Source organism: Homo sapiens, chromosome 8 (genome assembly GCF_000001405.40).
Source record: "Homo sapiens chromosome 8, GRCh38.p14 Primary Assembly".
NCBI classification, from domain to species: Eukaryota; Metazoa; Chordata; class Mammalia; order Primates; family Hominidae; genus Homo; species Homo sapiens.
The window spans coordinates 29,523,816-29,545,825 of NC_000008.11; the positions used below are offsets into that span (position 1 = coordinate 29,523,816).

Here is a 22,010-nt window from a genome sequence, read left to right on the forward strand (position 1 = left end):
TTCTACTGAAACTAATAAATTACTTCGTTATGGTCGTATATGAGGGCAAGAATAAACAAGCTCTGGAAAGAACCTAATAAGTTTCCTATAAACTTAACCGATAGCTCTTCAGGCTGTTCCCAGGCTTGTTTTTGTTTTCTTCTTACATCAATGTTTCTGCCTGTCTTGCGGAGGATGCTGCAGTGGTGACCTCCAGATAAGGAAGGCATTTTAGGCTGTGACAGGTGAGCAGGCATCTTCCCTGAATGGCTCTGATTAGGTTGAGAGTTCGAGGGCACAGACAAGATCTGGCTGAGAAAAGGACCTCTCTGTTGGGAGCTCAGCCCCCAAACTCAGTGACATTTGGCACACTGGATGCTGGTGTTTTCTCTCTGTATGGGCTGAGGCAAAATCAGCTGAGGCGCCCTATCTTTTCCTCATATTTTTGCTTAGATGCAATGCACGTATTCCAAGTGAGTCCCTACACAAGATAATGATTGTTTCAGAACCTTAGATGACATCATTTGGAGATTTGTTGAGTGGCTATCAACCACCCCAACTGCTGTTGATAAAGAAGAGATAACAGAGTGAAAATATTTGTCATATGAGTTTCACTATTTTTTTTAGTCATATATGTTCTGATGTGGTAGTGGGAGTAAAGAACTGTCTTATGACTGCTCTAGATATCAGAGATGGAAAATTCTTAGCTCATTCATTACCCTTCAAGACTCATATGCCATACGGCTTTCTGTTGATCTTCTGGGCTGATTTCATCTGCACCTGCTTCCTTCTCAGGAGATACTAAGTGATAAATGATCTCAGGGCTGGAGAGATATTTCAAAGGAATCACATCCAGTGGTGCCATTCCTATTTCATTTGGCCATATTCCTTTAGTGGGTGAGGTTTTCCCAGGCTATCAGTCATTCATTTAGTTCTGAGTCTCATGAAACCCAGAGCTAGTCATTTGACAACATTCCTGTGCCTCAATTTCCCTTCTTTAACAGCTCGGCAATAGAAACAGAATGTGAGCCACATACATAATTTCAAACATTCTAGAATTCACATTAAAAGAGTAAAAAGAATAAACCAGACCCAGAAATGCAAATACCATCTGATCTCACTTTGCGGAATCTAAAAAAGTTGAACTCACAGAAGCAGAGAGTAGAACAGTGCTCTCTGTGAAATGGGGAGATATTAGTCAGAGGGTACAAACTGGGTAAGAGGAACAAGTTCTGGAGATCTAATATACAGCATGGGTGGTGATGGATGTGTTGAAAACAAAACCAAAAAGAAATAAGTGAAGTTAATTTGAATATACATTATTTAACCCAATATATCCAAAATATTATCATTTTAAGGTATAATCAATATAAAACATTATTATTATTATTTGACAGGATTTCATTGTGTCGCCCAGGCTGGAGTGCAGTGGCACGATCATGGCTCACTGCAGCCTCTATTGCTTGGGCTCAAGTGATCCTCCCTCCTCAGCCTCCCAAGTAGTTAGGACTACAGGAACATGCCACCACACCCAGCTAATTTTTTATTTTTTTATAGAGATGGGGTTTTGCCATTTTGCCCAGGCTGGTCTCAAACTCCTGGGCTCAAGCAATCCTCCCACCTCGGCCTCTCAAAGTGTTAGGATTACAGGCGTGAGCCACCATGCCCGGCCTAAAACATTACTAATGAAACATTTTACTTTCTTATTTTTCATACCAAGTCCAATATTTGTTGTCTATTTTACACATACAGTGCATCTTTTTTTTTTTTTTTTTGGGATGGAGTCTTACTCTGTCACCCACGCTGGAGTGCAGTGGTGTAATCTCGGCTCACTGAAAGCTCTGCCTCCCGGGTTCACGCCATTCTCCTGCCTCAGCCTCCCAAGTAGCTGGGACTACAGGTGATGGCTGCCACGCCCGGCTAATTTTTTGTATTTTTTAGTAGAGAAGGGGTTTCTCTGTGTTAGCCAGGGTGGTCTCGATCTCCTGACCTCATGATCCGCCCCCTTCGGCCTCCCAAAGTGCTGGGATTACAGACATGAGCCACTGCGCCCGGCCTACAGTGCATCTTAATTCAGACTGGTCACATTTCAAGCGCTCAGCAGCCACTAGCCAATACAGCAGTTCGGTATAATGGATGTGTCTTTCCGTTTTAAAGAGTATTGTGTAATATTTTAGAGCTGAGTGAATATCTGCTTTAAACAACATGAGAGATACAGGTAGTCATAGTGGTGCCAACCAAAAATATGAATAGTCTTTTTTTCTTTCATGGACTAGGAGGTTCAAGTAAACTTCAGAAGATCAGATGGTGATCTTATGAATCACAAGAGACCATAGATGCAAGGACAACGGCAGGTCAGGGCAGTCAGATATGAAAGGCAGGGCTCCTAGAATGAGCAAAATCAGCACCCAAGGGGTGTGAAAACTAGAATGACTGTGTCCGATGAATAACTCATTCTACATTGAGAGAAATTTTATCTGTGAGTCCAAGTAGCTTCCAGGATTCATTAAGAACTTTTAAAAGATGTCATGGAGATTGAGTTGCTCTTCAGAGATTGAGCTGGTATTTAGAGATTGAGTTGGTATTTAGAGATTGAGCTGGTATTTAGAGATTGAGGCACATTAAGAAAGATGTTGAAATGAAGAAAGGGTTTGTTGTAATGACAAGTGCTAACAGGAAGGTGGTGGCAGCTTGAAGGAGAGTTGACAAATCTGTCATTATCTTTCCAGTCTTGTCCAAGGCAGAGGGCGTTCTTGCCAGACAGCATGTGCGTTCCAGGGTGCTTGGCAGACTCTCTCAGTGAAGGAGCTTCGGCATGAAAAAGTCCCCATCAGGCGGATCCCACGCCCTCTGCACAGCTTGTGTAAGGGCACAGCTTGTGTAAGGACAAAAACTAACCAGACACCTACTATGTAGAAGGCTCTTCAATGATTCTTCTGTAAAACAGATTGTATTCATTTGCTAGGGCAGCAAAATACCACAGACTGAGTGGCTTAAACAACAGAAATTTATCTTCTCACAGCTCTGGAGGCTGGAAGTCCAAGATCAAGGTGCTGGGCGATTTGGTTTCCTTGGAGGCCTCTCTCCTTGACTTGCAGATAGTCACCCTCTTCCTCCCTCTTCACCTGGTCGTCCCCTGTGCGTGTGTGTGCCTGGTGTCTCTTCCTTTTCCATTCTGAACTTATGAAACAGATTTTGGTGGGTGTAGCAAGATCATGCAAGCTTTGGGACTTGAATGGATTGGAATGTATTCCAGTTATATCAGATTAGAGTCCTACCCTAATGGCCTCATTTTAACTCAATCATCTCTTTAAAAACTTTATCTACAAATATACTTACATCCTGAAATTTCGGAGGTTGGGACGTTGACATACGAATTTTGGGGTAACACAGTTCAGCCCATGATATAGGCATTACCTATCTTACAGGTGAGGAAACTGAGGGGCGGTGAGGACATGTGACTTGCATAGGGTTAGTATGCCAGTTGAGAGTAGAATCTCTATCTCAGTTGAGTGTTCTTTACACAAAGAACACTTTGTCTCTTGAGGCGAAATGATGTATCCAGCTAGCGCCATCGAAGACATTTGGAAAACTCAGGTTTCTTCATGGCTTGCAAGATTACCTAGGTACTTCATGGGGAGTGGTGAGGGGCATGAGGGTGGTTGGGGGATGATCAGTGGAAGCAGTTTGGAGATTGGGGTCTGGAATCGGGGTGTGAGTCTTGGCTCTGTCATAGACTAGGTGTATCGCCATTGTCAAGGCCTGCACAATCTAAGTTTATACCGATTAAGATTTATTAAGCAACAGTGCTAAGCACTGAACACATATCACCTCATCCCATGTTCACAGCCAGCATATAAAGTGGATACTATTGCTATGTCTACTTTACAGTTGAGGAAAAGAGGCCCGGAGAGGTTAAGTGACTTACTCAAGGTCACGTAGCCAATAAGGCCTAGAGCCAGGACTCAAACCCACGTCTGTGGATTTCAAAACCTATACAGTTAACCATGAACAGAATCAGGAATGGGGTTCGGGGTTACAAAAATCTGCTTTTATAAGAGAGAAAAAGTCTGAGTTTTAGTGTAAAATCTCAAGGATTTTCAATATTGAATAATTCAAGTTTCTTAAACAAAACTAAGCAGCTCAGACAAATCATATCAGCTAGCCTCAGGTTCATACTGCATTGCCTCTTATCTGTAAAGTGGGAAAGGTGTTCTAGATAAACCTGCAGGGCATTGCCTGTCCTGATTATGAACCTCTGATGCCATTTTGAACTTATGAAATAGATTTTGGTGACTGTGGTAAGATCATGCAAGCTTTGGGACTTGAATGGATTTGAATCTGCACCTTGGCCCTTAGTAGCAATATAAGAAGGCAAATTGTTTAATCTTTCTGAACCCCAGTTTCCTTGTCTGGAAATTGGGACTTGTACTTTGTACGCTGATATGAATATGGAGATAAAGTCTGTAAAGTGCCTGCTGGGCAGCTTGGTAGGCAGTGAGAAAATAACACCAACAAGATCGTGTTCTTCGCCATGGGATTGGGAGTCTATGAGTAGTGGGTGTATGTGAATATCTGGGGGGATGTGGACAGGGTTCCCACTCTGACAGCTCTCCCCACAAACCAAGGAGCTGCCATTTTAAACTTAAGTTTTGAAAACTTCAAGAGTTTCTTTACAAAAATGTCCACCATTGTTAGACAGACTGGTTAATACCTTTGCAGGAGTTAGATTCTATTATATTTATTTACTCACTAGGAGAGCATTTAGTGAGTTTACAATGTGGCGAAAGAGGAGTGGTTCTCAAACCCTAATCTGCAACAAGAAACAGCCGGGAGCTTGCTTATACTAAAGCTTCTGAGCTGCCACTCCCAGAGTCCAGCTTAGAGTGCCATAGGGCCAGGAATGTGCATTTGCACAGCTCTCTGGGGATGCTGATACAGGGGACCAAAGACTATCTACTGAGGCCCAGTGTAACTTTACTGTGAGACAACTAAGTCACCTTCCCACCCGGAGATGCCTCCTGAGCTGACCACAGGGCGGCCACACCTGGGTAAGCCACCACTCAGGGTGGGACTGGGGCAGGCACAGCCAGGCGGGTGAGGAAGTGGGCGGGAAGAGCCTGTTTTAACCAGATAAAATTCCAAAATTCCTTACAGTGAGCCAGCCATTTGCTCTTTTTTTTTTTTTTTTGAGTCTCCCTCTGTTGCCCAGCCTAGAGTGCAGCGGTGTAATCACATAGCTCACTGCAGCCTGGAGCTCCTGGACTCCAGTGATCCTCCCACCTCAGCCTCCGGAGTAGCTGGGACTAAGTCACATACCCACAAGCCCAGCTAATTGTTAAGTTTTTTGTTGGGGTGGTGGTGGCGGTGGGGTGTGTATCTCACTATGTTGCCCAGTCTGGTCTTGAACTCCTGGCCTCAAACGATCCTCCCGCCTCCGCCTCCGCCTCCGCCTCCTTAAGTCTTGGGATTACAGGAGTGAGCCACAACTCCGGCCCAGCCAGTTCATTCTTAATAACTTTAATACATAAAAATGGACCATTTTAGTGTCCTGAAATAAGCAATGATTTCCACCATCCGAATATGGTGTGTAATGACCTCCAGACGCCTAGTTACCATCTACATCCATAGCTCAGCGATCAGAGCTTGCCCTGAACGGACTCCTTTCCCACTGCAGACAAGTAGGGGGTTTTGCCCGTAAAGAAGGAGCTAGTCTACGTGCGGCTGCAGTAGGCCCTGCGCCATCCGTCATTTCTCGGCTTCCTCCCACGCGCCTTCATGCGGATGTGTAGGTATCTCCTCTCCCTGGCTGAGTCAAGTCACTCAGAGACTGAAAAGAGAGAGAGGATGTGGCGTGAAGCTGAAGCCTGCACCCAGGGCCTGGCACCTACTGGGTTGGGCTTGGCGCTGCGTGCTTGCATTTCCGCGGATAGACCGAGATGGCATCTGGGCTGTGACACTGGCTGCCCAGCTTTTCTTTTCTTTTTTTCCAACAGCATCTGGAAGAGGCTCTGGGAGGGTCCAAACAACAAACCACGCGGCGTTCTCTGGTGGCTGTGCTGGGACGAGTGGGCGGAAACAGCCGCAGGTCTCTCTCTTCTCTTCAGCCTGAAACTCACTGCACAAATACCAGAGGTTTTTTTTAGAGATTAGATAAATTTGCATCCTTCTCCCCCCAACCCCGCCCCTAAGCCAGAGGAAGTGCTTGAGGAAGTAATGTGTTTAAAGAATGTGGGGGAGGGGAGCTTACATTAGGAAGCAGGACTCTTAGCGTGTAGCCAGAAACCCCAATAACCTTTAAGCTGTTAACCCTTGAGGATACGGCTCAATGGTGTACCCACGTGGAGTTCATTATTTATCTCCGAAAGCCCTGTCTGTCTCTCATTCCGACCCTTAAACGAATCATCTGCAGTTTGGCCAACAATTCAGTTCCAGCTCCCTGGGAATACCAGCAAATCCCGGGACAGCTGTTCCTTCTGCTGAAAACACCAGGAAAATCCGCCCAGGAGCTCAGGCTGTTTGACCAGAAAGCCTGGTGTTGGTCACTGTCAGAGAGCACGAACAGAGGGAAGAGGAGGTCCTTGGCTGGGTCCTTCATTTTTTTCTTTTTTTTTTTTTTTTTTTTTTTTTGTCCTTGGGAGCTTGGATGAGCTTGTCTTTGATGCCTTAATTGTTTCTGCACTCTTTTCTCCCTTTCATAAATCCATTGAAACGATATATATATTTAAGAGTAAGGCAAACCTCAAATTAGGCTGTCTGTAGAACTGAGCCTCTGCAAAGAGAGTAATTAAATTATTGGCATGAAACGGCAGGAACCCTGGAGGGGACGGCAGGGAGAAGGCACTAGTAAAAGTGGAAGGAAACTACTTGGGAAGATATTGGTGCCTGTGCTGGGGAATGACATATACCCAAACCATTTCTCATCAGACTTGAAAATACCGTATACATCTGTGTATGTCAGCGGATGTGCGGCAGATTCCCCTGCCCCACTGGTCTGTCTGAATGTTCTGTCTCTGTTTAGCCTGGGTGAGATGGAGGAGGATTCCCTCTTAGGGGCTTGCCACGCCACCCCTCCTCCACAGTGTGGAAATAAAAATCTTGAGTTCCTTTAAGGAAAATTGCAGGCACCTAGCTATCCCTGAGAAATTAATGAGCAACTTCATAAGTAAAAAGGTAATCATACCATAAAACAATAGCAATAAAATTAGAGCCATGAGATGTTTGGTTCCCTATAGAAACTGAAGATACATCTTAACATATGTTCCTGAGTTATTTTTCAGAAACCCAGACCTCTACCAAATGGATCTGCTGGCACGCAGACCTCAGAAAAGGGGAAACTGAGGACTGAACTCTGACTGCTATTTCTTGTTCTGCATTTTTTCTTGAAGGACCTGAAGGAAGTCACGCCCATGGGCCAGACCTAACGTTCTTTAATGCTGACTCTCAATTTTTAAATAGAGCTTCCCTTCCTTAACCAACTGCAAATCAGAAAATTGTTGAATCCCCTACCCCGTGACCTGTAAGCCCCTGCTTCAAGATATCCTGTGTGTTAAGGTCAAACCAATATGTAGCCTCCATGTATTGACTTATGACTTTGTGTGTAACCTCTGCCTGCCTGCCTTTAGAAACCCTTGCTTGCAAGCCACTGGGAAGGTCAGGTGAGCTGCCTGATTCTCCTTGCTGGGTGCCCTGAAAATAAACACCCTCCTTTCTCTCACTACAAAACCTCAGTTTGAATGTTTGGCTTCACTGCCCTGGAGGCACAGACCTCAGTTCAGTTGGGCAACATGGGTCTCGGGGTGCTGAAAGCCACTTTTTATTTTCATTAGGGACTTGCTCATGCCAAACATCCTGAATTTAAGTAGAACTTACTAGGTTTGGGGTGTTTGTGGGATGGGGTCCCCTTGTGGAGCCCTGAGCCTTCTGCCATCCCCTATCTCTGGTCCCCACTAATTTTTTTTTTTTTTTTTTGAGATGACATTTTGCTCTGTCACCCAGTCTGGAATGCAGTGGCACAATTTCAACTGACTGCAACCTCCACGTCTCAGGTTCAAGCCATTCTCCTGCCTAGCCTCCCAAGTAGCTAGGATTACAGGCATGTGCCATCACACCCGTAATGTTTGTATTTTTAGTAGAGATGGGATTTCATCACATTGGCCAGGCTGGTCTCAAACTCCTGACCTCAAGTGATCCACCTGCCTTGGCCTCCCAAAATGCTGAGATTACAGGCATGAGCCACCCCATGCCTGGCCCCTCTGGTTCTCACTAATTCTAACCTGGATTGGCTCCTTTGTGCTCCAATTCTTTCCCTGCTTCAATGCAAAGGTTTCACTTTCCTTTGAGGCCTTACTGTACAGGCCAACATCCCGGAGGTGTCAGCCTCTGTCCCCAGTTGACTTTCACAAGCCCACCAAGCACTTGGCAAAATAAAGGCCTTCCTGTTAACACCATCTGGTGTTAGGGTACACTGGGTAGCAAAAATGTGTCCCTTCTGCATACATAATCCACATATCCCCAAGCTTTCTCTGTCCACGGTAATGGCTTGAGCCTCCACTCCTGTGGCCCTTCAGCAAATCCAGTCCTCTCACCTCCCCATATTTTTAAGGGTCCCTTAGGGAGGGGCCAGTTACCTATTGTCTTACTCTAGAAGTCATTGCTTGGGTCCTCTTGCAGGTTAACTCTGGCCTTTTGGCAGCTCCTAATCTGTGCCGCAGAGCTGCCCTCAGCTCAGCCTCTCTGCAGCAGGGTGGGTACAGGAGCCCCCTTCCCACTCCCTGGAGAATGGTGAACATTCTCACTACTGATCGTCTCTGCCTCCACCCTTGCCTGCTCCTGCCCTGCCCTGGAGCTCACCTCCTGGCCCAGAATCTCTTGCTCCCTGTGATGGTTAATAATGTCAATTTGATTGGATTGAAGGATGCAAGTATTGATCCTGGGTGTGTCTCTGAAGGTGTTGCCAAAGGAGAGTAACATTTGAGTCAGTGGGCTGAGGAAGGCAGACCCACCCTTAATCTGGGTGGGCACTATCTAATCAGCTGCCAGTGTGGCCAGGATATAAAGCAGGCAGAAAAACATGAAAAAGCTAGATTGGCTTAGCCTCCCAGCCTACATGTTTCTCATGTGCTGGATGCTTCCTGCCCTCAAACATCAGACAAGTTCTTCAGCTTTGGAACTTGGACTGGCTTCCTTGCTCCTCAGCTTGCAGATGGCCTATTGTGGGACTCTGTGATCCTCTAAGCTAATACTACTTAATAAACTCCCCTTTATATATATCTATCTATCCTATTAGTTCTGTCCCTCTAGAGAACCCTGACTAATATAGATTTTCGTACCAGGAGTGGTTCTAGAGGAACAGAATATTAAGGATGGAGTTCTTTAGTTGGTTTTGGGGTTTCTGGAGTTGGCTGCTTAATATGATTAGACCCCAAAATGCTAAGGACTCTACTGCTAATAGTACAGAGAACACTAATAGCCATTGGTGTGAACTCTTCAGAGAATTATGCAAAATAAATGCATTTGATACTCCTGATTCACCCCTCATGAGAGGTAAGGAGTTTAGTGACTCTATACATAATACCTTGGACTATATGTGGAGAACCAAGGAACGTAATGAAGTTGGTTGGTTGCTCCTAAGTTCGCTGGGCAAAGTTATGAAAGAAAATGATGAACTCAGGACTTATACACTCCCTAACCCTTGTCCCTTGCTCCTCCCTATCTCCTTACCCCAACCAGAGGAAGCAAAAATGCCTTAATGCCATAAATAATTTCTACAGACTCCCTATCTAAAACAAAGATGGATTTCTACTTAACATCTCAGTCTGAAGCACTTGCATATAGATTTCTCCACTGTTTGTTGTTGTTGTTGTTTTCAAGAAGAAGCCTTGCTGGGGAAAAGGAAGATTCTCTCCATCCTGCTTCTACCCTACAGTACCCTAAAGGATACAGCTTTTTTCCTCTAATGTTTTATTTTTAAAAGTTTTAGACATACATAAAGTTGATGGAGTACTGCAATGAATGAATGCCCATATATCCTGTACCTAGATTGAACAGGTGATAACATTTTGCCAGGTTTGCTTTATCTCTTATATGTAGCTGTGTGTGTGTGTGTGTGTGTGTGTGTGTGTGTGTGTGTGTGTGTGTACATGTTTGGCTGGATCATTTAAAAGTAAGTTGCATACATCATGATCTTTTATCCCGAACTAGTTCAACTTGCATCTCCTAAGAATAAGGACATTTTACAAACCACCATACCATTAACACCTAAAAAAATGAACAGTATTTCCATAATACACAACAACTTTTAAAATAGCGTCTTCAAGGCTTTTTCTGGTATTCTTCCCTCATACTTTAGGCCATGTAGTAGTGGCATATGTGTTATCAGTACTTGGGAACGCCAGTGGTTTTCCTGTCCAAATTGGGGAACAAGGTTGCCAAGAGTTAAATGTAAGATTAACTTACAATCAGAGCAGAGATATGCAGAGACATCTTAAAAGATATAAAGAGGGCCCAGCGTGGTGTCACATCCCTGTAATCCCATCAATTTGGGAGGCTGAGTTGGGAGGATCATTTGAGATCAGGAACTCGAGGCCAGCCTGGGCAATATAGTGAGATCCGGTCTCTTCAAAAAACAAACAAAAAATTACCCAGGCTTGATGGTGTGTGCCTGTAGCCCCAGGTACTCTGGAGGCGAAGGTGGGAAGATTCCTTGAGCCCAGTAGTTCAAGGCTGCAGTGAGCTAAGATTGCACCACTGAACTCCAGCCTTGGTGACAGAGCAAGAGCCTGTCTTTTAAAAAAGGAAAAAAAAAAAAAGAGAAGTCTATTTATTTGGTTCATAGTCTGTTGACCCCTAAAGGAAGCATCAGAAGCCACTGCATAAAAGCTGTGACATGAAGCTCAGGAAGATTTTTTCTAAGATATTTGCCAGCTACAAGGCATTGTCCAAATATGGGCCTTATTTCCAGAAAAAAAAAGGGGAGGGAGGAATGCCATGGAGTAAGTTATTCTCGGGAGTCCTTGCTTATTCTTAAGGATTGTACTAGGCCCAGCCAGTCTCATTTGCTACTTGGAAATGAGGGCATGTGCCTTAATGTGTGGGATTTCTATTAAGCGTGAAATTTGACCCCATAAGTACTACTTAATCTCATGAGTACCTTCCATGTAAGATTGGGTCTTACCTAATAGACTTTGAATATTTCAGTATCAGTTGAAAAGTCCTCTCTGTAATGAGAAAGGTGAGCTGGCTCTCAGAGCTTGATTCCCTTAAACATGGGATTCTCCCTAATTCCCTTCATTTGGATTCCATATTGAAAAAGCAGCTGTTTGGCTGGGCATGGTGGCTCATACCTGTAATCCCAGCACTTTGGGAGGCTGAGGCGGGCGGATCATGAGGTCAGGAGATCGAGACCATCCTGGCTAACACGGTGAAACCCCGTCTCTACTAAAAATACAAAAAATTAGCCGGGCATGGTGGTGGGCGCCTGTAGTGCCAGCCACCTGGGAGGGTGAAGCAGGAGAATGGCATGAACCCGGGAGGCAGAGCTTGCAGTGAGCGGAGATTGGGCCACTGCACTCCAGCCTGGGCGACAGAGCGAGACTCCGTCTCGAAAAAAAAAAGAAAAAGAAAAAGCAGCTGTTTTAGTTTTCTGGGAATGTTATAACAAAGTACCACAAACTGGGTGACTTAAAACAACAGAAATGTATTCTTGCACAGTTTTGGAAGCCAAAAGTCTGAAATCAAATGTCTGCAAGCCTGGCTCTCTCAGAAACTTGAAGGGAAGAACGTAGCTTCTGGTATTTGCTGGCAACCTGTGGCGCTCCTTGACTTGTAGATGCCTCGCTCCTATTCCCGAGTCTGTGGTCACATGGCTGTCTTTTCCCTGTGTGTCTCTGTCTCTTCTCCTTTTCTTTTCTTTTTTTTTTTTTTGAGATGAAGTCTTGCTGTGTCGCCCAGGCTGGAGTGCAGTGGCATGATCTCGGCTCACTGCAACCTCCGCCTCGCGGGTTCAATTAATTACATCTGCGAGACCCTGACTTCCAACTCAGGTCACATTCACAAAGTCTTGTGTGTTAGGACTTAAAGAGACCTTTTGCGGGACACAATTCAACTCATAACAGCAACCCTTAGATTATGATGTTGCTCCCATGGAAACTTCCTTGCGGGAAAAGATGTCTTAGTCATACAGACTTTAAGTATTCTAGTTCCTGTGTTGGTGATTTCCTGTTGTAAAATTTATAAATTAGACTCAGAGAATGGTTTGGCTTCCCATGTCATAGGACTATAGATGGAAAAAGAATGCATCGATTATATGTGGACCAGGGTTTTGCATTTCTGGAGAGAGTAATTGCTCATTGTGAGCCAATAAATTGACTTTCTGGTTTGATTCCTCAGTGTCATGGTCCATCCCTGAGATTTTGGCTAGGAGAGGAGCAGCCACCATATCTGTGCCAAAAAAACCTAGTTTCTGAGCTTCTGAGGTTGAGAAGCAGACTTAGTGCTAATTTGCCAAAATGATGACTTCAACCCCAGGAGCCCATGGCAGTTGAACAATCTGGATATTTCCAAAGCTAGCAGCCCACTACCACATTGCCATGTGGTTAAATGCAGGGCCATTATTAGTCTCATTTTGAATTTCTAATATGTTATATAATATATATTAGATTTCTAATATATAATTTAATATAATAGAAATCCAAAATGAGACAAATATGTGAATCAGACCATAAATATATTACATAGATAAATAAATAATGAATAAATTATATAAAGGTAATATGCAATATATTACATAATATAATATTGGATTTTTAATATATGGGTTCTACATAGTAATACATATCCCAAAGAAATCTTGGTCCCTTGGGAAAACAAACAAAACTCCCAATCACAGACACACAAAAAAAGGAATTAATTAAAACCAGGAATATTTTAGATCTTGTCTCAGATTCAGACTTAATAAGAAAAAAGAAGAGTTTTAAAGAAAACTGTTAAGATTGTTGGTATAGTAGATGAACCTGAAGCATCAATAGAAAAAACCTCATTGTGGCAATGCCTTAAATCTCTGAAGCACTGAGACCAAATTGTAGCAGGTTCGCTCCAAAAGTCATGTTTTCTTCTCTAGATTTCAACCAGTCAGTTATTGAAGAGATGGTAGGCAATGAGTCTGGCACGTTCTATGGGAAGAAAACAGAAACACGTACAGCTTGTCCAACTGAGGCAGAAGAAACTGTGATGGGAACAATGTTCGGAGGGAATGACTGATGAATGCTTGATGGTGCTGTTTGAAGAGGAGACCTGGATGTCGGAAGCGAGTGGAGGGGAGGAGAGTGGGGCTGAGTTATTTAATTAGCTAGGGTCCAGGAGGCAGGCTAACTTGCTGAGGGCTAGCACTGTGGAGCAGAGCTGGAAGGAAAGGCAGAGAGAGATTAGCAGACCAGGAGCAAGTCTCCTAGGACCACTCCTCAAACGTGAGTGTGCCCAAGAGAGCTGGGAGTGCTTGTTTTGTTGTTGTTGTTTTTGCTTTTTTTTGTTTGTTTGTTTTTAACTGGGACGAAGTCTTACTCTGTCACCCAGGCTGGAGTGCAGTAGAATGATCTTGGCTCATTGCAACCCTGGCCTCCTGAGTTCAAGCAATTCAGCCTCAGCCTCCGAGAGCTGGTATTACACGTATGCACCACCACGTCCAGCTAATTTTTTTGTATTTTTAGTAGAGTCAGGGATTCACCATGTTGGTCAGGCTGGTTTTGAACTCCTGACCTCAAATGATCCGCCTGCCTCGGCCTCCCAAAGAGCTGGGATTACAGGTGGGAGCCACCGCGCCTGGCCAGGAGAGCTTGTTCAAACACAGATTTCTGTCTGTCTCCTCTAGATTCTGAGTCAGTGAGTCTGGAGCAGGGCTCATATAGCTGCATTTCTATCAAAACACTGCAAATGCTGCTGATCTGTGGATCCCCTGTTAAGTAGCACTGTACTTTAGAAAACACTTAAAAGCTGGGAGACCCTGTTGAAGTTGATTTTCCAAGGAAAGCAAATTTTTAGAGAAGAGAAGTTTGGGAAGGAGGTGTTGGGCTATGTATGCAGAGATGTTTCTGTTGCTAATAAAAGACATCTGAGAACGCAAATGCTACCTCTACCTTTGAAGTAAGTCTTTCTTAACTTATCTGAGTAGCCTGGCAGCTTCTCTTGGGTTCTCTCAATGCAAATCTCTGTTATGGCAATTATCTGAGGGTATTATAAATTGTGTGCGTGTGTGCGTGTGTGTGTGTGTGTGTGTGTGTGTGTGTGTGTGTCCTCACCAGAGCATAAGCTCCTTGAATCAGAGACCAGGCCTTTTACTGTTGTATCCTGTATTATAGTGCTTGGCATAGGCCTGCCACACAGTTAACTACTCAACAGAGGTTTGCTGGATACATTGATACGTGAGTCAGTCCTTCAAGAATCTGAATAAATTGGAGACAGGTGGAGAAGGCAATTCCTGTGCATAAAACAGAACAAGTGTAAATCTAGAAGAAGGTGCAAGACATGCTAGGGAAAGCAAACAGGTGGGGGAGAGGGTGTGCTTCTGGAGAGTCAGGTCAGATGGGTTTTGTGTGCTAGAGATTGCTGACTGTGGAGCCCTGAGAAACCGGCAGAGGAGCAAGAGTATTTTGCCTCAAGTGATAAGTGTTTTTGAGTCTGAGCTCAGAAACAGGACTCATCTAATTTGGGCCTTAGAGCCCCAGACACCAGGTTATACTCTTGAAGCTGTTTTTACGCATTATTTTCCAGTACCTTCATGGGTTGGGGGCACTGGCTGAGCTCCCATCCCACCACTAGCACCGACTTTCCTGGTGCAAGAATACGGCATCTTAGAACTAATTCTCCAATTCCCAGTCGAACCACCCCAGGTGAGACTGTATGAAGCAGAGATGAGATTTCCTGCAAGCTTTGTGCCAATTGCACCCTTGTGAGACAGGTAAATTGTTGTTTTAAGCCATTAGGTTTTGGAGTGCAGAATAGAAACACAGGGGCTGATTAGTAGTTCTATGAAATGTCACGTAAGTAATGAGTCATAGGACCCCATGCATCCGATGACCTTGTCACTCACTTTTTTTTTCTTTTTGAGAGAGAGTCTCGCTCTGTCACCCAGGCTGGAGTGCAGTGGCACTATCTCTGCTCACTGCAACCTCCGCCTCCTGGGTTCAAGCAATTCTCCTGCCTCAGCCTCTGGAGTAGTCACTCACTCTTCTATCCAGGTCTCATCATTTCATAGGTCTTTACAGGTCTTCAGGCAGAGAGAAACAATTTCCAAGGAGCTTATCTCAATGAACTGAACCCAGGACACAGGAGCAGCACACAGGATAAGTGGATTTGGGTTGGATGTCGCTGAGGGAAAAATAAGAAGAAAGTGTAGTCTCTGTGCTTAAAGGGCATCAGCATGGGATCAGAGCTCTTCAAATGCAATCGGAGGCCAGTTTCCCCAGAGACTGAATTAAGTTAAAAGAGGAAGTCAGCTTGGACTCACTTGAAATAAAGCTGCTAGGATGAAACGAATGTATTAATAAAAACAAGACATGAGAAATGGTAACAGCAAAGGGAAGAGATCAATCTTGTGCAGGGGCTTGTGTTGCAATGCGGAAAAAATTTTGTAATCAGAATGAAACGCTAGTGATCGCGTAAGCAATGGATGTCAGCGAGGACTATTGGAGAGGCACACGATTCACATGACTCTAATCCATAGCGGGTGCTGGGAGTGGGAGGCATGGAGAGGTAGGGAAGGCATGACTGTTTGCCAGAGAAAAACGTTCCCTTGGGCAGGGAGGGCCACTTACTGGGCAGAGATATGAAGGAAACACATTTATGCAGTGGCTCCGTATTTGGTACCATGGAGGATACCAATTCAAAGACATGGCCCAAGGGATATGATGCACATCTACCCATCATAGGAACTCTCTATGCAAACTGTTCCATCTCCCCAAGCCAAGGGCCTTCAAGCTTTAAGGAGCCTGGGTTGAAATTCGAGTCTGGGAGTCACAGTGTTTGTTGTGTCCCCTCACCCTCTGCTCCATTGTCCTCCTGGTGCCCTTTTTAGGAAAGCCCAGGCACAATAGAAGCTACTTGGACTGTAATTATCCTTACTGTCCTGCAAGCCTCCCTAGGTGCAGTGAGAGCATCTTACTCACCCTGGAGATTCTTAAAAACTGCTTATTGACTGGGTGGATTAATGTCTGGCTGGGGGAATGAACCCAGTGCCCAGTGGTGCAGGAGAGCCTTGGGAAAATGCAGAGGGGCCCTCCAGAAGGACAGGGCAGTGGGACTGAATGGGAAACATCACCCAAGCAGGTGGGGATGTGGAGAGGTCAAGTTTAGGAAATCTAAGGCCTTGTGAAAGTCCTTCTAATCAAATGGTAATAGGTAGTAAGTCTCGCTTGCCTGCTTGCTTGCTTGCTTTCTTTCTTTCTTTCTTTCTTTCTTTCTTTCTTTCTTTCTTTCTTTCTTTCTTTCTTTCTTCCTTCCTTCCTTCCTTCCTTTCTTTTCTTTCTTTATTTCTTTTTCCTTCCTTCCTTCCTTCCTTCTTTCTTTCTTTTTTTTTCCAGAGTCTTACTCTATCTCCCAGGCTGGAGGGCAGTTGTTTCATCTCGGCTCACTGCCACTTCCGCCTCCTGGGTTCAAGCAATTCTCCTGCCTCAGCCTCCTGAGTAGCTGGGATTACATGAACACACCACCAGGCCTGGCTAACTTTTTGTATTTTTAGTAGAGACGGGGTTTCACCATGTTGGCCAGGCTGATCTCAAACTCCTGACCTCAAGTGATTTGCCTCCCCTTGGCCTCCCAAAGTGCTGGGATTACAGGCATGAGCCACCGTGCTCTGCCCTAACTGGTCATTTTCAATGTCCCTTTCTCTGCTCTGAAGGGAGGTGCCAGCAGGCAAGGAAAGTGACTGGTAGAAAAATGAGAATTGCAGGAACCCACATGACTCCCTAACTGGAGCTTCAGCTCCCTCCCAGAGCCAAGAAGCCAAGGGAGCCAGGGCTGTGTTCTGTGTAACCAGCTTCCACAGCCACCCTCTCCGTGCCACCAATTCAGTCTTCTGGTCTACCAGCCCAGGTACTGTTGAGTGCCGGCAGCAGAGGGGCCAGGGACTGCTGTGAGGCAGCGTCTCCATCCAGAGACCCCTGCCTGGGACGTCTGCCACATCCTCAGTCAGTTGCCTCTGATTAACCCAGAGTCCGTGAGAGCAGGAAACCCCCAAATGTCACCATAAAACTGGGGACATTTTCAAGCTAACCCCCCCACCACACCCCGGGTAATATAGTTAAACCCCTTCATTTTACAGGCAAGGAAACCAGAGATCAGAAAGGTTAAATGACTTCTCAGAGGCAGTGGTAGAGCAGGTTCTACCCTCCTTTCCATTACAGGCTTAAAGTCAGCATCACTTTAGAGGAGATTTAACCAGCAGATGAGCAGGTAGCATCAACGCAGAACATGCACTTTGGCAGGGCTGGCTTCTCTGTCCTTCTCTCCTGCCTGTACTCATCCTCCCCAACATGGAAGGAGGTGGGTTTTCCATCCTCTTTACCCCTTTGTTTATCTCCATCCCGCCCCACAGCAGGGAAGGAGGCTTTTAACAGAATCACCCTTGGGAAGTTTTGCCTTGGGATTCTATTTAAATGACAGAATAGACCTGATGTATGGTGGGGTCCCTCTCAGTAGAATATAGGTATCCAGGGTGTTGTGAGTTGAATTGTGTCCCCCAAAAAGACATATTGAAGTGGTAACGCCTGGTACCTATGAATGTGGCCTTGTTTGGAAGTACAGTCTTTGCTGAAGTAATTAAGATGGAAGTTAAGAGGAGATACTGGAATAGGGTGGACCCTTAATCCAGTATAACTAGTGCCCTTAAGAAACTGCCTTTGCAAAATTATAACTGAGGAAATTATGACAGTGAAAGAAGTCAGCCCTAACCGACTCTGTCTTGCTTCTCTGACCCTTAAGCTGTCCTTGTTCTTTCCTGGGCGTAGGTCAAACTTTGGGAAGGAATTCAGTTCATTGTTTGACTCTGAAACAAAATCGATAATAGCCCTTTCCTGAAAAGACCCCTTTCTTGTCTGGGGTCCAATCTGCTTTTGCAGGACTAACAAATTAGCTATAAGATTAGAAATTAGCCACTGGCTTCAAGAGTCTGAACCTCCCCAAATTGCTCCTGGGGGTAACTGTAGGGAGTCCCCCTGAAACTATTGCTACGGAGTAAAAGATGAAATGCTCCTGGTTATTGTAAATACAAAATTACATGCAGGATTGTGTAAAGACAATGCCAGTTTGGACTGCCAGAAAGAGCCAACAGCGCGTGATGTGCTTCCCCCCGCAGAGAGCCTATGAATGGATGTGCAGTCAGGGAGGTTTCACATCACCAAGATTCCTATCCCAGAAAAGCAGATGTTCATAGCTCTGGGAATGGAATGCAACCCTTGTGGAGAGCCTATAAATGGGTGCGTTGGGGAGGGGTGGCACCTGTCCATATGGATACGATAGGGCTATAAACGCCCTCATCTTGCCATGGCTCTTCTAGGCCTCTTTAGGGTTAAGGCATACTCCCTTCTGAGAATTTCTGGTCTAACCGGTTGTCTAGCTTCACGTCCTGTTTCCATGGATTGTTCGTAACCAGCTTGTGTGGCAATTGTTACTGCTGATTAATATCTTGCTAATCATAGGTTATGGAAAGATTGTGTTTCGGTTTTAAGGCTCTGTTAAAAATTACTGATGCACACACTATATTGTAAATTCTTATCTCTGTATACTGTACTTCTACATACAAATGTACTGTACTTCTACATACAAATGTTATGTTAAAGAATTACTTCATCCCCATGTGACCATCTCACCTCATAATCAAATGACCCTAAATCCATCACTAACCTACCCCTGCCCTCACTAAATTTAATAAGTGCTGGTATATCCAGTGCATTGTTGGCACCACAGGACCAGAAGGCGGTGACCCCCCCGGACCCAGCTTTCACTATCTTGTGTGTGTCTATTATTTCTCAACCTGCCGACCTGCCTGGGAACAAAGAGAGAGCCCTATTGCATTGCGGGCTGCTGGCCAGATCCCGCAATAGGTAACATCACTATTGTAAAATCTCAGATCAGAGCTTGAGATATTTTGCAGACCTTGCACTTGATGGAGCAGCTGACACCACCCAGACCCAACCAGTTCTGCCCAACCAGCTCTGCCATTGCACCCAGGAACACAAGACATTAGGAAAACCTAACTTCGACCCCCTATGATTCCATCTCCAACTTGACCAATCAGCCTCCCCACTTCCCAAGACCCTACCTGCCAAATTATCTTTAAAAACTCAGATCCCCGAATGCTCGGGGAGACAGATTTGAGTAATAATAAAACTCTGGTCTCTTGCACAGGTGGCTCTGTGTGAATTACTCTTTCTCCATTGCAATTCCGCTGTCTTGATAAATCGGTTCTCTCTAGGCAGCAGGCAAGGGGAACCCACTGGGCAGTTACACTTACAGGAAGAGAAGAGACACAGCCACACACAGAGAACACTTGTGACAGGGCAGACATTGGAGTGATGTTGCCACAAGCCAAGGATGCTCTGTCCACCAGAAGCTGGAAGAGGGAAGGAGAGGTCTTCCCCTAGAGGTTTGGAGGGAGTGTGGCCCTGCAGACACCTTGATTCTGCACGTCCAGCCTCCAGAAGGATGGGAGAATAGATATCTGTTGTTTTAAGCCACCTGGTTAGTGATACTTCCTTACAACAGTCCTAGGAAACTAATTCATAGCAGAGCCCAGGCAGCTGAGGCAGGATAAAGCCAGGACCTATGCAGAGGGGCCTAGAAGAGAGATGAGGGAGGGGAACCAAGGAGGAAAGCCTCTTAGAAGGGCTTACCCGGCACTGACTCAAAGATGGGCAAGGGGAAAAGCCGAGCAATGTGTGGGCTGTGTGGGATCCCTTTCTGGCTGATGAGAAGCTGAACCCATATTTTTTCCTTCCATTGTGGGGCCTAACAGTGCAGACCAAAAAATTAATATCTAGAAATTGAGTCACTGAAGCCTTCTCTGGCTGGCCCCTTTGAACTTGCACCTCCTCATTCTGCAGCTGACAACTGTCAAGAACTGTCCCCTGCCATTTCACCTGAGCTGACCTGATCTCCCCAGGGGAATGAGCCTCGTCTTGCAAGTCCCCTTCTTTGGGTCCCTGGCAGCGCTGCTGCAGGTATGTTTAACATGTAGAGGTCACTTAATAGGTATGTCCTGGTTGGTTGATTTGGTTTCATAACTGAAGTACATAATATGGTGCTTTGGGTTTGTTTAATTTTAAATATACCTGGCAAATCTGTTATGAGTATAACAAAATGTTTCTACTCCTGGGCAGTAGATAGATCGTGTGGCAAGCAGATTGCAGGTCACGTCTACTCTATGCCCTCAAATCCTGATGGCGCTGTCACTCAGCATCACAGAACCTTCCGATGTGGGCTTTTCTTGTTTGTGCTTTCAAAGTATTTCTGATTTTAGAAAATGCCCATCTGACCTTTTCTTTTTTCTGTATGAATCCCCCAACCTCCCACTCCAGTCACTTGGTTACTCATCTTCCTTTTAAAATTCTTTATTTACTTTCTGTTTTCACAGGATACAAGGAACAGGATGCTATGACGAGATATGCATTGAGAAGCTTCAGTCCTGCCTCCATCCTTATCTTCTTCTCCCTGGACCAAAAGTGATAATTGTCATTTGATCCTTATTTATTTTTAGAAATAAAACTCTTATGCAGATACCAACACATACAAATCTGTATTCTTATACCCTCTATTTCTTACACACAAGGTAGCATATTATATTCACTGCTTGACATGTTACTATATTTATTTGTACTTTATTGAGCTATAACATATACAGTAAAATATACAAAACATAATGCATAGGCCAGTGAATTTTTTCCTTTTTTTAAATTTATTTTTCTTGTATGACTATTAAAAACAGCTTTATTGAGGTCCAATTGATATATAATAGTAAACTGGAATATATACACACCCATGAACCATCACCATAATTGAAATAATGAAAATAATCATCACCTTCAAAAGTTTCCTCTTAGGCCAGGTGTGATGGCTTATGCTTGTAATCCCAGCACTTTGAGAGTCTGAGGTGGGAGGATCACTTGAGCCCATGAGTTCAAGACCAGCCTGGACAACATGGCAAAACTCCATCTCCACAAAAAAATACAAAAATTAGGTGGTGTATGTCTGTAGTCCCAGCTACTCAAGAGGCTGAGGCAGGGGGATCTCCTGAGCCCAGGATGTTGAGACTGCAGTGAGCCCTGATCATGCCCCTGCACTCCAGCCTGGGCGACAGAGTGAGATCCTGTCTATAAATAAAGTTTCCTCTGGCCTCTATATTTTCTTATTAGCTTGTAAAGGTGAGCAGATTGATGAGTTGGGTTGAAGATATCTAACATTAAGCTGATCACAACCTCATGGTTCCTTCCTAGAGGCTCCTTTAGTTTCTTTCTTTTCTTTTCTTCTCTTCTCTTTTTTTTTTTTCCGAGACAGGGTCTCACTCTGTTGCCCATGCTAGAGTGCAGTGGTATGATCATAGCTCTCTGCAGTCTTAAATTCCTGGTCTTAAGCAATGCTCCTACTTCAGCCTCCCAAGTAGCTGGGACTACAGGGGTGTGCCACCATGTCCGGCTATTTTTTGTAGAGACAGAGTTTCACCATGTTTCCCAGGCTGTTCTCCTAGTGTCAAGAGATCTGCTCGCCTCAGCCTCCCAAAGTGCTGGGATTACAGACATGAGCCACCGTGACCAGCTGAGTCTGCTTTTGTTTCTTAAGAATCCAGGAACTAGGTAATAAATGTATGTCTTTGCTACTCCTAAGTCTTATTAATCACTTACATTTCTGACAATTAATCATTGGACCTCAAGGGACTTTGATAAGATTAATTTGAAGTTCTCAGCAGTAGAAAGTTTATTTTGTCAGTCTGCAAAGCTTCTGGTGTCAGAGGTTCTGGTTCAGGGCTGTTTGACTCAAAGAACCAA

At 44.7% G+C, this 22,010-nt stretch overlaps 2 long non-coding RNA genes across 3 annotated transcripts, besides 6 other annotated features; one reads left to right on the top strand and one right to left on the bottom strand.

Annotated features, from left to right (window-relative positions):
* Positions 258 to 307: an enhancer, noted in NCBI's record as "active region_27198". NCBI's record gives its function as "activates an Ori minimal core promoter by ATAC-STARR-seq in GM12878 lymphoblastoid cells {active_cell/tissue: GM12878}" and the evidence as "EXISTENCE:reporter gene assay evidence [ECO:0000049][PMID:35858748]".
* Positions 2,299 to 2,348: an enhancer, noted in NCBI's record as "active region_27199". NCBI's record gives its function as "activates an Ori minimal core promoter by ATAC-STARR-seq in GM12878 lymphoblastoid cells {active_cell/tissue: GM12878}" and the evidence as "EXISTENCE:reporter gene assay evidence [ECO:0000049][PMID:35858748]".
* Positions 2,379 to 2,638: an enhancer, noted in NCBI's record as "active region_27200". NCBI's record gives its function as "activates an Ori minimal core promoter by ATAC-STARR-seq in GM12878 lymphoblastoid cells {active_cell/tissue: GM12878}" and the evidence as "EXISTENCE:reporter gene assay evidence [ECO:0000049][PMID:35858748]".
* Positions 5,233 to 6,432: an enhancer, noted in NCBI's record as "MED14-independent group 3 enhancer chr8:29386565-29387764 (GRCh37/hg19 assembly coordinates)". NCBI's record gives its function as "activates an origin of replication core promoter dependent on BRD2, BRD4, P300/CBP and CDK7 cofactors, and independent of MED14, by STARR-seq in HCT116 cells {active_cell/tissue: HCT116}" and the evidence as "EXISTENCE:reporter gene assay evidence [ECO:0000049][PMID:35650434]".
* Positions 5,451 to 6,392: an enhancer, noted in NCBI's record as "H3K27ac-H3K4me1 hESC enhancer chr8:29386783-29387724 (GRCh37/hg19 assembly coordinates)". NCBI's record gives its function as "activates a minimal SCP1, AML or CMV promoter by ChIP-STARR-seq in primed H9 embryonic stem cells {active_cell/tissue: H9 hESC(primed)}" and the evidence as "EXISTENCE:reporter gene assay evidence [ECO:0000049][PMID:30033119]".
* On the bottom strand, positions 5,484 to 6,529 carry LOC107986935 (uncharacterized). The gene is made up of 2 exons (XR_001745860.2): positions 6,230 to 6,529; positions 5,484 to 6,097 (listed from the first exon to the last, which is right to left on the bottom strand). It is a non-coding gene; the product is annotated as an uncharacterized LOC107986935 (long non-coding RNA).
* LOC105379350 (uncharacterized) lies at positions 5,801 to 20,755 on the top strand. 2 transcript variants are annotated; one of them, XR_001745859.2, is made up of 3 exons: positions 5,801 to 6,067; positions 20,073 to 20,189; positions 20,603 to 20,755. It is a non-coding gene; the product is annotated as an uncharacterized LOC105379350 (long non-coding RNA). The 2 variants fall into 2 exon arrangements; XR_007060877.1 differs by lacking the exons at positions 20,073 to 20,189; positions 20,603 to 20,755 and adding an exon at positions 7,368 to 7,704.
* Positions 5,840 to 6,089: an enhancer, noted in NCBI's record as "active region_27201". NCBI's record gives its function as "activates an Ori minimal core promoter by ATAC-STARR-seq in GM12878 lymphoblastoid cells {active_cell/tissue: GM12878}" and the evidence as "EXISTENCE:reporter gene assay evidence [ECO:0000049][PMID:35858748]".
* Positions 20,756 to 22,010: the final 1,255 nt, after the last annotated feature.